Consider the following 15,295-nt stretch of genomic DNA (forward strand, 5'->3'; position numbering starts at 1 on the left):
GAGGTCTGACTGCCCTTCTTTGTTCTAAGTCTCTTACTGAGGGGCCCTGAGGAAATCACGCCCATGAGCCAGAGCTAACATTTCTTTCTGTTGACCCCAATTTTTTGGACAAAGCTTTACGACCTTAACCAGTTGCAAATCAGGAAATTTCTAAATCTACTTACCTTTGACCTGAAAGCCCCTGCTTCAAAATACTCTACTGTTTTAGGCCAAATCAGTGTATAACCTCTATATATTGATTTACAGTTTTGACTATGACTTCTGTTTTCTGAAGATTTCCCCTGCTTTTAAACACCTTTGCTTTCAGGCCATCAGGGAGTTTGGGTCTTAAGCATGAGCTGCCCGATTCTCCTTGCTTGATGCCTGTGATAAATGTCTCATTCTCTTGCTGCAATCCTGATGTCAGTGCTTAGATTTGTATACCTGGTCAATGGATTCAAGTTTGGTCCATTAATAGTGTGTCTTGCTTTTAACAGACACTCAGAGTTGCCAGATGGTGTGCCTCCACCCTGACCTCCAGTTGAAGCTCATCTCCTCCCCGCACACAGAGGAGGACTTGGTGAGAAGGCCACAGAATGGAAAGGAGCTCAGGGTTTCCCAGGAAAGAGAAGTGAGTGATACCGGAGGCCCCAGAGCAAGAGGAAGGGCTGTGAGGTAGGCAGGGGCCATAAAGTGAAGGGCATGCTGGTGGGGCTGCAAGGTCCAGGGTTTATGTAAACAGCAATGAAGAACCACAAAAGGAGTTTAAGCCCAGGAGTAAGATGAACAGGCTGAATGAGAAGGATGTCTCCAGCTGCCTCGAGGAGAAAGGCCTGAGGGCACCAGGGGATCCTGGTCATAGATTATTCACTAAGAGAACCTGTGAGTCTAGAAGTTTGAAGACTATTTGCACAGTTAAAGCAGATTTGCATCTGGGATACAGTGAAGAAGTGATAATTTCTGCATTAATCTGTCCAGTCATTCAACGTTTCTGCAGAAACATTAAAAGGTCACACTTATCTTTCTTAGTAAGCCATGAAAAAAATGTAAGTAGGGAAAATTAGGTTTAGAATATAAACAAATTGTATTCTATCTAAAACAAAATTCTATTGAGAAGTAGATGAAACAGATAAGCAGAAAAATAAAAAGGTAGGAAGACAAAACTCACTTCATAAAATAAGAAATGTGTTACACCATGAACTGGTAAATGTTATGCCTACCCAAATTATTTTTTCACAAATAAAATCTAGTGAGTATCAACATGCTAAAATCATGGTGTGACTTAGGAAATGTTTTCTGGGCCAGGTGCGGTGGCTCACGCCTGTAATCCCAGCACTTTGGGAGGCTGAGATTGCGCGGATCACGAGGTCAGGAGATCGAGACCATCCTGGCTAACATGATGAAACCCCGTCTCTACTAAAAATACAAAAAAAAAAAAAAAATTAGCCAGGCGTGGTGGCAGGTGCCTGTAGTCCCAGCTACTCAGGAGGCTGAGGCAGGAGAATGGCATGAACCTGGGAGGCGGAGCTTGCAGTGAGCTGAGATCGCACCATTGCACTCTAGCTTGGGCGACTGAGTGAGACTCCGTCTCAAAAAAAAAAAAAAAGGAAATGTTTTCTGAATTGCTGGATGTTAAATCTATCACTGAGGTGATTCCTGAAACAGTCCCCTTCTATGTCATTGCCTTGAACAACCCCTTCATGCCACTCAAGTCAGCACAACTGTTTCAGCATCTGTGGTGGTGCCATAGTGACGTATGCAGGTCATTTAGCTTTTTCTAGAATGTACTCTTGGGGCACTGGCACCTTAAAAGGTTATAAAATTTTTAAACAGTTATAAACGAACATATTTGCTCCTCTCATAGATCAAGACTACTTACAGGAGTGAGATACTGGCTAGGCATCTAGTAGACCACGTCATCATCACAGGATATAGGATTCAGGACACAGATGTGTATACAGAGGAATAGTGTCCTGGTGAGCTGCAGAGATCAGCTGGGCTCTCTGGTCTCTGAGCCATGGGGAGGTGAGTGTCCTGCTATCAGCAGGCTGCACTGTGGGACTTGCCTGTGGTGTCTGCACAGCTGCTCTTTAAGAACCATTCATTCCAAGGAGCCTAGGTCTAGGGGCTGGGCCTTGTGCTCATTGATGGGGACTCGGCAGCTGTCTTCTCTGGTCTGGCAGAGTCTGCTGAACAGGGACCTGTGTATGGTCTCAGCAGGTGATATCTCCTAGGGCCCTTCCAAGGAGGGAAAGCAAATCATCTTCCTCAGTCTGCAGTGTGAGCTGGGCTCCAGCCCCAGGGCTCAGGAAGGGACTGGGCAGTCCCTGCATAGAAACACATTTGCATGAGCAGCCCCTCCTCTGCTGGGGGTTGGGAAGAAAAGGAGGCCTGGGGCAGCTCAGGCTCACTGTGGTGGTCAGGGGCTGTGTCCACCATGGCCAGAACTTCTCTCCTCCTCCTGATCCTCTTTCACTGCTGGCCTGAACTTCTCTTCTCCTTATGCTCCTCTCTCACTGCACAGGTAAGGACAGGCCTCGGAGATCAGGACTCAGTTTTCAGCCTGCATCAGTCCCTCAGGCTCAGGAACCCATGACAAATTTCATCCTCATCTTAACCCTGTCTCTTATTTGTGTCTGTGTTTACAAATTCCCTCTCCCAGCTTGTGCTGACTCAGCTGTGTCCTCCCCCCCACTTCCTGTATCTCTGGGAGCATCTTCCAGACTCACCTGCACCCTGAGCAGTGGCTGCAGTGTTGACATTTATCTCATATCCCGCTGTCAGCAAAAGCCAGTGAGCCCTTCCCAGTATCTCCTGATCTACCTCTCAAAAGTCAAGTAAAACTAGGGCTCTGGAGTCTCCAGCTGCTTCTCTAAATCCAAAGATGCCTTGGCCAGTGCAGGCAATTTGCTCATCTCTGGGGTCCAGCCAGAGGACAAGACTATCTGTTCTATCTATTACTGTCAGACCTGGGATATTGATACTTCAGTTACACAGGCAGATGAGAAAGTGAGACGAAACTCAGCCTACTAAGAATGGAACTATGGCTCTTTTTCCAATTGTCAAATAATTTTCACATACACAAACTATTTTGGAAGTAGCTACTGATTCACAATGGTTCTCTCAATGTCCCATTCAATGTTTCTGAGTCCTCAGGCAAACTAACAACAAAACAATGATAAAACATATGACAAAACATATGATAACACTGACTCTTTCCCTGCTGAACCACATGTAATAAAACCAGAGGAGCTGGTTTAATAAAACCTGAGGAGCTGACTTTTCTTTTAAAAGAAAAGATGACAGTCTTTTGGAGTCTTTTTCTTGGTCAAAATTTCCTAGACCATCCCAGCAGGTGGACAGTCCCCTACAGAAGACACGATCCTGGGAGGAATCCCAGGTACAGAGCTGGCCTGCTTCACTTGTGGGTACCTGCCACTTCAATTGTGAAATCAGGGAGGGGAGAGTAAGCATAGGGGGTAGGTGAGGATCAGGAAAGGGGCAAGGCCACTACATTTCATTAACCACCTTTGGACTCCAGTGCAAGATAGAGGCTGATGATCCCATCACACAGGTGACTACAACCTCCTTGTCATCAACAGCTCCTGCCCATGGGGAAGCGAAATGAAAATCTATCCCCATCCCTCTCTTCTTACATATCCCTGTCCTGCCCCTGCCGGTGACCAACACCAGCTCAGGTTGAATTTTGTTTTGTCACTTGTGCTATTAAAGAAAATAACTCCTTCTCTTACTGGTCTCCTAGTTCAGACAGAATCAGTTTGTTTCCAGAAATAGAAAACGCTGCTCACACACATGAGTGTAAAGTAAGGATGACAAAAAGAAAAAATCCAGGCTATGTGGCCCAGAGACCCAGGTGCCCTCTGATTGGCCTCATAGATGTCCCCTCCTCCTGGCCCAGGTTTGCTTGTCATTCCTTAAGCTCTGGAACCTTGAACTACATGGGTTCTGTCTTCATAGTTGCAGAAGAAAACCCTCCCCAAGAAGGAGATGGTTCCCAGAACCAGCACATGCTCACTTTTCTCTGTTTAATTCCACACATCTGACTTATTTTTGCTTCCATGAGCCTTTGTTGAAGATATCACTGAATACCTCTCATTTCTGTTAGGTCTACAGCCTATGGACCTATCTCCATTATATTTGTGCTTATTTTTCTAACCTTTATGACTGATTATCATTTAAGCTTAATATGAGATATGCATCTATATTAAAGATATATAAATATGTCATCAATGGTCAATATTATTAAAGTTATAAGTAGTAATGCAAAATTGTAGCTATTATATCATTTCACTTGTTCACTAACATTAATATGTGAAGTGAGAAGATCACTTTATTAATCACGCACTCCTGGTCATGTGTGCGGATGAGTAAGCTCAGGGGGGATGCTGCCATGGTCCATGGGAAGCCTCAAGAACAGCAGACCTGGCACATCAGGCACAACATGGGACACAGGGAGTGAGCCATGTCAGCAGAAAGCAGAATAGACTGAGGCATCAGAAACAACCCATTGCCAAACTCTCCACTGCCTTCCTGCATGGGTCAGACCAGAGCTGCTCAAACATAACGTGCACACAGATCATCTGGGCTCCTGGAAAATGTGGACTCAGGGGTCTAGGATGAGGACTGAGATTCTACACTTCTAAAGATCCCTTCTCCTACAAATCCACATATGTGTTTCTGTATCACAAAATTAGTAAGAATGGGGGAAAATAAGAAGGAAAGCCATTTGTAGACAGGAAGCAAAGAAACATCTTTCGCGGAGAGAACTACAGAATTTTCATGAAGAAAGACTTCCAGTTGAGGCAGGCAGACAACCAGAGAGGACAGCCGAGAAGACTGAGGAGGCTCCTCTTTCTTCACAAAACAAACAAATGAAAGCAAAAAGACACCAAGCCTCCCCCTTACCTGCCCTGCCCTCTGGCTCCTGTCCAATCTCCCCACCAGCTTCTCCTTCAGCCTCTTCTAAATTGTGGACCCTCCTCACCTTCCCTTCAGGAGATGCCCTGAGTCCACTGCTTCTCTTTCCCAACCCCACTAGCACCTTCCGCTACTTCCTGGGTTTCTCCTCAGCTACCAGAGAATGCAGTGAACCATCCAATCCAAATAAATTATCCTGTTAAACATTGACCAGTAGGTCTCCTTTGTGCGGATCTGAGGAATCAAGCAGGGAGAAAGAACCTGACTTTGTGAGCTGCCTGAGAAATGAGTTCATGGCTGAAGTGTCCCTTTTCTCAGCTAACATGTTTTATTTCATGCACAGGGTGTATACAGAGACAATCTTCCCCTGAGGACTCCATAAAAGATGGGGAGAATTGTGTGTCCAGTTCCCATTGAGGAGACACACACAGAAAACTAAAGGCTGAGGTGAGGTAGGAGGCTGCCCTGAGGACGGGCCTTGCCCTGCCCTTGGTCAGGGAGTGAGCAGTGTTCAAGACCCTGGTGGGGACAGGAGGCTCTGTCAGGACCCCGGCATCTGGTCAGAGACACGGTGGACCTGGACTTGAGCAGCAGGGGATGCTGTGGCCCTGCTGCTGAGCCCTCTGTGGGGCTGTCAGCTGGGAAACCAGAACCCTGTGTGGTCTGTGCTCAGAGATCACTGGGCCAAGTAGCTGGATCCTCTGTGGGCTCCTGGGGAGCCTCAGGCCAGGCTGGATCCTCTGTGGGCTCCTGGGGAGCCTCAGGCCAGGCCCAAGTTAGGCCCACCCCTCCCAGAAATGACACAGCCATTGCCGCTGCATACAGCCCCAGGGAGGGGTACGGTTGGGCAGAAGAGAGACAAGTTTGCATGAAGGGCCCCTCTCTCTCTTCTGGGACTACCGGATGGATAAGAGGGACCTGCATCATGTCAGCCTCAGCAGAGCTCTGGGGTGTTTGCACCATGGCCTGGACCCCACTCTTCCTCCTCCTCACCCTCCTCCTCCACCACTGCAGAGGTCAGGATGGCCCTTAGCACCCTGATCCTGCAGCTCACTCACACTGCCTCACAAACTCATACCAGGAATGTCCTTCCCTCTTATCCTTACTTCAGGCCATAATGGGCGTCTATGTCTTCAGGGTCCCTCTCCCAGCCTGTGCTGACTCAGTCACCCACTGCATCTGCCTCCCTGTGGGAGCCTCGGTCAAGCTTACCTCCACTCTGAGCAGCAAATACAGCACCTACATTATTGAGTGGCATCAGCAGTAGCCAGGGAAGGTCCCTTGGTACTTGATGTATGTTACCAGTGATGGAAGCCACAAAAATGGGATCCCCAGTTACAGTTCTCAGGATCCAGCTATGGGGCTGATCGGTAGGTCACCATCTCCAACATCCAGTTTGAGGATGAAGCTGATTGTATCTGTGGTGCAGATCATAGCATTGGTGTGACATATGGGTAAGGCAAAGTGACCCCAGTGAATGAGGAAGCAGGACAAAAACTGTTTTCTCTGCTCCACTATGAAGGCTGCCACGTGGCCCTGAGAAACAGTGCCTGTTTTCCTTACTACTCAAGAAAGATAGATAGATAGATAGGCAGATAGCTAGCTAGATAGATAGCTAGCTAGACAGATAGGCAGATAGCTAGCTAGCTAGCTAGCTAGACAGATAGATAGGCAGATAGCTAGCTAGATGCTAGATAGACAGATACCTAGATAGCTAGATAGATTTTTTGCTTTGGGTTCCTTAGGAACAAGTTTGCTAGGCCAAGCTCCTAAGGAGTACACAAGTCTGTATTAATGTGGCCAATATTAAGGCAGATCCTGTCACCCCCTGCATGTCGATACATTGTCACCACATGGGAACTGCAAGGACATTTTTCCCTGTGGATTTAAACACTGGAACTCTGCTGCATGGCACACCCCTGCCACATCAAGTTTCATTTTAACAATCACCCATAAGATATAACTTCTTAAGAAAATTTTGAATTCTAACAAAATGCTAGAAATCACACTGTTGATACACAGCGATGGAAATAATGAAAATTTATAGACAGTGAAATAAAAAGATTTAAAATTTTTGGTGGTTTATAAAGGTTTTCTCAGTTGTTCAGTGCGTGGGTTTTGGGATTAGGAGAAAATGAGGAGAAACTGCCTCCACCACATTGAACATGACAACTGATTTGCAATAATCTAACAAAGAAGAAGGATATAAATAATCATTAATGTCATCCTGACAGCCCTGATCCTAAATGTCAGAATTTTATTTCTTAACTTTTTTCTCCAAAAAAAAAATGTAGCTTCAGAAAAACTTCTGGAATGGTGGTATGAGGCCATCAGAAAACCTGATTCACCATACAAGCAATGAGAACAGCAGTAAAAATGATATAAATCTACTTTTCAGAACTCTGTACATTACCAAAAGCTTACAAAATTCTGGGAATCATAAAAAATAGTAATAACAGCCAGACATGGTGGCTCATGCCTATAATCCCAACACATTGGGAGCTGAAGCAGAGCGATTGCTTTATCACTCCTGGGATTTTGTGATCAGACTGGGCAACAGAGTGAGGCCTCTTCTCTAAAAAACATTTTAAAAAAGTAGCTATATGTGGTGGTGTGTGGGTGTAGTTGCAGCTACTGGGGAGGCTGAAGGTGGAGGATCACTTGAGTCTGGGAGGTGGAGGCTGCAGTGGGCTGTGATTGTGCCACTCTACTTCAGCCTGAGTCATAAAGCAATACCCTGTCTGAATCAATCAATCAATCAATTAAAATAATGTGGAATCTCTGTAAGAATCTGAAGCTTTGTGGTGATTTTATTTCTTTTGCTCTCTCCCAAGTTCCACAGTAGCCTTAAAAACCAACAGCCTCAAATCTCCTGGATCTAGGGAAACTAGAAAAATAGCATTCACTGAAGCAACCAAATACCAGATCTGGAATTTTCTCAAAAGCCCCATTCCCGTGCGACTGTCATTATTTGAGCTTTCCAAAGCTCAGAAAAGCTTCACGCTCTGTACTTTTCTAAATGTGAATTGTCTCAGAGCTCGCTTGGTTTAAACAGCTTCATCCTCAATACATTTATCAAAACAATCAGTGAGATCTGTTAAGGTCCTGAGTCAGTGATACAAGATGGGGTCAATAAAAGGCTGACCAAAAACCTTGAGAGAAAAAAACTGGGTGTCAGAATCTGTAGAAGATTTTGATGAGCTCTGCCATATTCCTGGAAAGACAGAAGATCACTCTCATGCTCAGAGTTATGTGCATGGCCAGGTAAAAATTAGGAAAGTCCTTAATTTTCGACACTGGCTGAAATCAACAAGGAAGGCTAAAATAGAGTTGTAAAGTGGCGGGGTTTTGCAGTCATGACCCAACCCCTGCACAGAGCATTCGGCAAATGCTGAGGAATGTGTTGTTCGAGGCGTTTAAGAACATGTCTGTCCAATAATAAGCTAATGACTGATATAATTGAGCAGAGACTGCAGTGGCTGCACAAGCAAAGAAAACAGACTTAGAGAATTATTCCAGTACCGTGAAACAATAAATCATCATCAACAATAACAACTACAACAAAACCAGAAGCAATTATGACAAATATTTTAAGGAAAGAATCTGATTTCCAGAATCGTCACATTGTGTGACTGAGAAGCTCCATTTGGCAAAGTGAAATTTTGAGGCAGGGACACAGCAAAGTACTGTCCATACACAGGGTTAAAAAGGAAAGCAAAGCAAAACATAAAAACAAACAAACAACATTAAAAATAAGTTGACAAAATGATGTCCAGAGATGCATTTGGTGGTTACTACATAAAAACTTCAAATTAGCTTTTGTAAATGTGGTCAAATAAATAAATAAAACAACGTTAACAATTGTTAAGGAAAGTACGGAAAGAATGCCTCATTACAGAGAGAACATTGGCGGGGTGCAGTGCCTCACACCTGCAATCACAGAACTTTGTGAGGCCAAGGCAGACAGATCTCTTGAGCCCAGGAGTTTGAGGCTAGCCTGGGTAACATGGCCAAACCATGTCTCTACAGGAAATACAAAAAAGCTAGCTGGGCATGGTGGTGCATGCCAGTAGTACCAGCTACTCAGGAGGCTGAGGTGGGAGGATTTCTGGAGCTTGGGAGGCAGAAGTTGCAAGAGCAAAGATCATGTCAATGCACTCCATCCTGGGGGACAGAGCAAGAGTCTGTCTCTAATAATAATATAATAATAATAACAATAGAGAATACTAATAAAGAGGTATAGAAGAAAGGATCATTGAATTAAAGACAGATAAATTGATAATTATTCTGTTCCAAGAATAGAAAAAAATGACAAACAGTCTGCACAACCTGAGAGACGATGTGACACCAATCAAATGTTCCAATACACACATAGTAAGTTTCAGTCCTTCCACCATGTGAGCTCGCAGTGAGAAGATGGCAGTCTATGAACCAGTAAGCACATCCTTACCAAACACCGAAGTATCTGCTTGTACTTTGATTTTGGACCTTCCAGCTTCCAGAACTAAACTCTGACCTATTTTTTTTGGACATTTGCATAGTGTGGGCCTCAGAAGGAAGCTGGCTGGAATTTGACATCACAGCCACTAGTAGTCTGTGGGTTGTAACCCCACAGCATAACATGGGGCTTCAGCTGAGCGTAGTGACAGAGGATGGAGTCCACATCCACCCTCTAGCTGCAGACCTGGTGGGCAGAGACAGCACTTAGGCTATGCAGCCCTTCATGGTGGCTTTCTTCAAAGTCATTGTGGTCCATGTGTGCATCACCAGGTCAGCCTCTGGCTGGCGTTGACAGCAGAGTTGTACTCACTTTACCCAGTCCCACTACGTGGCTCAAGTCTCCAGTACTTCAGATTACATCAGCAGCAAATTAAAAACAGCCTGCAGGAAGCATGAGCTATATGTGAGCTTCCAAGACCTGGATGGCAGGACTGGTTCATCGCACCCAAGGGCTATGCTGCTAATTACTGTGATGTAGAATGCTCCTTCCCAATCAATGGACATGTGAATGCAATCAACCATGTGATCATTCAGACCTTGGTTCACCTTATAGATCCTGAATATGTCCCAAAGCTGTGCTGTGTGCCAACTAAACTCAATGCCATTTTGGTTCTTTACTTCAATGACAATTCCAAAATCACCTTGAAAAAAATACAGAAATATGGTTGTAAGAGCTTGTGGATATTGCTAACTTGAAACCAGATGCTGGGGACACACATTCTGCCTTGGATTCCTTGGTCATAGCTGCCTTAAAAAACATACAGAAGCACAGTGGAGGTGGAGGGATAAGACTTTGAAACCATCTCATGCTGATGCCTTACTGCCCGAGAAAAATTTTAACGGACCTTGCTAATAATTTGCTCACTTGGTAAGTAACATGAGTAGTTGTTGGTCTGTACTAAGCTGAGTTTGGTTGTCTGGTAACTACAGAAACTTAAACTTAAAAGGTACCCCCCAAGCCCACCAAATTTAATTTTAGCTATAGTTCAAGCTATTTGGGTTATTAGTGAGTAAATAGGGAAAATAATCTCAATGGAGTTAAATGTATTCTTGGGTAAAGTATCAGCTGGTTTATTAGTGTCTATCAAAGGTACATTTTACAGATAGTGAAAGTTGGGGAAGTAGGAATAACTCCTCTATTCACAGATTTCATTCCCAGGAAGGCAAATTTTATACTGGATCCACAGTCCAGGCCATAGCCCGGGCTCCTTGGGGATGCCTCTGTCTCAGTCTTTGCTGTTATGAGTTTGTGCTGGAGTTCTGTTGGTGTGAAAATATACTTATTTCAGTCAAAACAAACCATATCATTTTCACATCTCAGTCCTCCATTTGCTGTATTCTTTGCTAGTACCCAAAGTAGACTGATTAAACTTTGAAGTGAGGCTTAGAGGAGTGGAAAGCATTTGTGACAGGCTCCATGGTAACTGTGTAACATGTGAAAGCAATGCTGCACCTCTTCTTTATTGGAATGACTTTTTGACCAGCACATTAACTTGAGGACTGCCGACTCTAATATCTATTTCAGGAAAGCGGTGCTTTGTCTTTTTACTACAGAGCATACCACGTGATTGGGTTAGAACCAACAAAGGAAATAAAATGGGAAAGGGTGCCCCACCTTTAAGAATGGCTTTAGGGGGATGAGTGTGCCATTTATGAATGGAAATTATGATTTTCTCTTGTAGAAAGGAAGGCTCAGATTAAATTTTAGAATATTTTTAAAATATCTTTTTCACCAACATGTACTGGGAAAGCAATTTCATACTAAACTGATTAAATGATAGTTTTATAATCTATAACTGCAGTAATGGTTTTTTTGTAAATATGAAGTATAATTTATTTTATATCTGTTTTGCTGTAACATTGAAGGAAATACCAGACATTTTCTTTAAGTGTTTATTTAGAAAGTACCAGGAGATGGTTCCAAGATGGCCAAATAGGAACAGCTCCAGTCTACAGCTCCCAGCGTGAGTGACGCAGAAGATGGGTGATTTCTGCATTTCCAACTGAGGTACCGGGTTCATCTCACTGGGGCTTGTTGGACAGTGGGTGCAGGACAGTGGGTGCAGTGCACTGAGTGTGAGCCGAAGCAGGATGAGGCATCGCCTCACCTGGGAAGTGCAAGGGGTCAGGGAATTCCCTTTCCTAGCCAAGGGAAGTGGTGACAGATGGCACCTGGAAAATCGGGTCACTCTCACCCTAATACTGCGCTTTTCCAATGGTCTTAGCAAACGGCACACCAGGAGTTTATATCCCGCACCTGGCTCAGAGGGTCCCACGCCTACGGAGCCTCACTCATTGCTAGCACAGCAGTCTGAGATCAAACTACAAGGTGGCAGTGAGGCTGGGGGAGGGGCGCCCACCATTGCTGAGGCTTGAGTAGGTAAACAGAGTGGCCAGGAAGCTCGAACTGGGTGGAGCCCACCACAGCTCGAGAAGGCCTGCCTGCCTCTGTAGACTCCACCTCTGGGGGCAGGGCATAGCCAAACAAAAGGCAGCAGAAACCTCTGCAGACTTAAATGTCCCTGTCTGACAGCTTTGAGGAGAGTAGTGATTCTCCCAGCATGTAGCTTGAGATCTGAGAATGGACAGACTGCCTCAAGTGGGTCCCTGACCCATGAGTAGCCTAACTGGGAGGCACCCCCCAGTAGGGGCAGACTGACACCTCACATGGCCAGATACCCCTCTGAGATGAAACTTCCAGAGGAATGATCAGACAGCAACATTTGCTGTTCAGCAATATTCGCTGTTCTGCAGCCTCCGCTGCTGATGCCCAGGCAAACAGGGTCTGGAGTGGACCTCTGGCAAACTCCAACAGACCTGCAGCTGAAGGTCCTGACTGTTAGAAGGAAAACTAACAAACAGAAAGGACATCCACACCAAAAACCCATCTGTATGTCACCATCATCAAAGACCAAAGGTAGATAAAACCACAAAGATGGGGAAAAAACAGAGCAGAAAAACTGAAAATTCTAAAAATCAGAGTGCCTCTCCTCCTCCAAAGGAATGCAGCTCCTCACCAGCAATGGAACTAAGCTGGACAGAGGATGACTTTGAGGAGTTGAGAGAAGAAGGCTTCAGACAATCAAACTTCTCCGAGCTAAAGGAGGAAGTTTGAACCCATCACAAAGAAGTTAAAAAATCTTGAAAAAATATTAGACAAATGGCTAACTAGAATAACCAATGTAGAGAAGTCCTTAAAGGATCTGAAGGAGCTGAAAACCATGGCACGAGAACTACGTGACGAATGCACAAGCTTCTGTAGCCGATTTGATCAGCTGGAGAAAGGGTATCAGTGATTGAAGATCAAATGAATGAAATGAAGAGAGAAGAGAAGTTTAGAGAAAAAAGAATAAAAAGAAATGAACAAAGCCTCCAAGAAGTATGGGACTATGTGAAAAGAGCAAATCTACATCTGATTGGTGTACCTGAAAGTGATGGGGAGAATGGAACCAAGTTGGAAAACACTCTGCATGATATTATCCAGGAGAACTTCCCCAACCTAGCAAGGCAGGCCAACATTCAAATTCAGGAAATACAGAGAATGCCACAAAGATACTCCTCGAGAAGAGCAACTCCAAGACACATAATTTTCAAATTCACCAGAGTTGAAATGAAGGAAAAAATGTTAAGGGCAGCCAGAGAGCAAGGTCAGGTTACCCACAAAGGGGAGCCCATCAGACTAACAGCTGATCTCTCGGCAGAAACTCTGCAAGCCAGAAGAGAGTGGGGGCCAAAATTCAATATTCTTAAAGAAAAGAATTTTCAACCCAGAATTTCATATCCAGCCAAACTAAGCTTCATAAGTGAAGGAGAAATAAAATCCTTTACAGACAAACAAATGCTGAGAGATTTTGTAACCACCAGGCCTGCCCTAGAAGAGCTCCTGAAGGAAGCACTAAACATGGAAAGGAACAACCGGTACCAGCCACTGCAAAAACATGCCAAATTGTAAAGACCATCGAGGCTAGGAAGAAACTACATCAACTAACGAGCAAAATAACAAGCTAACATCATGACAGGATCAAATTCACACATAAGAATATTAACCTTAAATGTAAATGGGCTAAATTCTCCAATTAAAAGACACAGACTGGCAAATTGGATAAAGAGTCAAGACCCATCAGTGTGCTATATTCAGGAAACCCATCTCACGTGCAGAGACATACATAGGCTCAAAATAAAGGGATGGAGGAAGATCTACCAAGCAAATGGAAAGCAAAAAAAGGCAGGGGTTGCAATCCTAGTCTTTGATAAAACAGTCTTTAAACCAACAAAGATCAAAAGAGACAAGGCTGTTACATAATGGTAAAGGGAGCAATTCAACAAGAAGAGCTAACTATCCTAAATATATATGCACCCAATACAGAAGCACCCAGATTCATAAAGCAAGTCATGAGTGACCTACAAAGAGACTTAGACTCCCACACAATAATAATGGAAGGCTTTAACACCCCACTGTCGACATTAGACAGATCAACAAGACAGAAAGTTAAGGATATCCAGGAATTGAACTCAGCTCTGCACCAAGCAGACCTAATAGACATCTACAGAACTCTCCAACCTAAATCAACAGAATATACATTATCAGCACCACATCACACTTATTCTCAAATTGACCACATAGTTGGAAGTAGAGCACTCCTCAGCAAATGTAAAAGAACAGAAATTATAACAAACTATCTCTCAGACCACAGTGCAATCAAACTAGAACTCAGGATTAAGAAACTCACTCAAAACTGCTCAACTACATGGAAACTGAACAACCTGCTCCTGAATGACTACTGGGTACATAAAGAAATGAAGGTAGAAATAAAGATGTTCTTTGAAACCAATGAGAACAAAGACACAACATACCAAAATCTCTGGGACACATTTAAAGCAGTGTGTAGAGGGAAATTTATAGCGCTAAATGCCCACAAGAGAAAGCAGGAAAGATCTAAAATTAATACCCTTACATCACAATTAAAAGAACTAGAGAAGCAAGAGCAAACACATTCAAAAGCTAGCAGAAGGCAAGAAATGACTAAGATCAGAGCAGAACTGAAGGAGATAGAGACATAAAAAACCCTTCGAAAAATCAATGAATCCAGGAGCCAGTTTTTTGAAATGATCAACAAAATTGATAGACTGCTAGCAAGACTAATAAAGAAGACAAGAGAGAAGAATCAAATAGACACAATAAAAAATGATAAAGGGGAGATCACCACTGATCCCACAGAAATACAGACTACCGTCAGAGAATACTATAAACACCTCTATGCAAATAAACTAGAAAATCTGGAAGAAATGGATAAATTCCTCGACACATACACCCTCCCAAGACTAAACCAGGAAGAAGTTGAATCTCTGAATAGACCAATAACAGGATCTGAAATTGAGACAACAATTAATAGCTTACCAACCAAAAGTCCAGGACCAGATGGATTCACAGCCGAATTCTACCAGAGGTAGAAGGAGGAGCTGGTACCATTCCTTCTGAAACTATTCCAATCAATAGAAAAAGAGGGAATCCTCTCTAACTCATTTTATGAGGCCAGCATCATCCTTATACCAAAGCCTGGCAGAGACACAACATAAAAAGAGAATTTTAGACCAATATCCCTGATGAACATCTATGCAAAAATCCTCAATAAAATACTAGCAAACTGAATCCAGCAGCACATCAAAAAGCTTATCCACCATGATCAAGTGGGCTTCATCCCTGGGATGCAAGGCTGGTTCAACATATGCAAATCAATAAACGTAATCCAGCATATAAACAGAACCAAAGACAAAAACCACATGATTATCTCAATAGATACAGAAAAGGCCTTTGACAAAATTCAACAGTCCTTCATGCTAAAAACTCTCAATAAATTAGGTATTGATGAGACGTATC

The 15,295-nt window shown here is 43.8% G+C and overlaps 3 pseudogenes and 1 further gene; all 4 read left to right on the forward strand.

Moving 5' to 3' along the window:
• IGL (immunoglobulin lambda locus) overlaps positions 1-15,295 on the forward strand; it is an 896,838-nt gene that overhangs the window by 150,442 nt on the left and 731,101 nt on the right.
• IGLVIV-59 (immunoglobulin lambda variable (IV)-59 (pseudogene)) lies at positions 2,648-2,971 on the forward strand (annotated as a pseudogene). Its single transcript is given in 1 exon segment — positions 2,648-2,971. A coding segment is annotated over 1 exon segment (324 nt).
• Positions 6,066-6,373, forward strand: IGLVV-58 (immunoglobulin lambda variable (V)-58 (pseudogene); annotated as a pseudogene). Its single transcript is given in 1 exon segment — positions 6,066-6,373. A coding segment is annotated over 1 exon segment (308 nt).
• Positions 8,953-10,599, forward strand: BMP6P1 (bone morphogenetic protein 6 pseudogene 1; annotated as a pseudogene).

Source organism: Homo sapiens, chromosome 22 (assembly GCF_000001405.40).
Source record: "Homo sapiens chromosome 22, GRCh38.p14 Primary Assembly".
Taxonomy (NCBI): domain Eukaryota; kingdom Metazoa; phylum Chordata; class Mammalia; order Primates; family Hominidae; genus Homo; species Homo sapiens.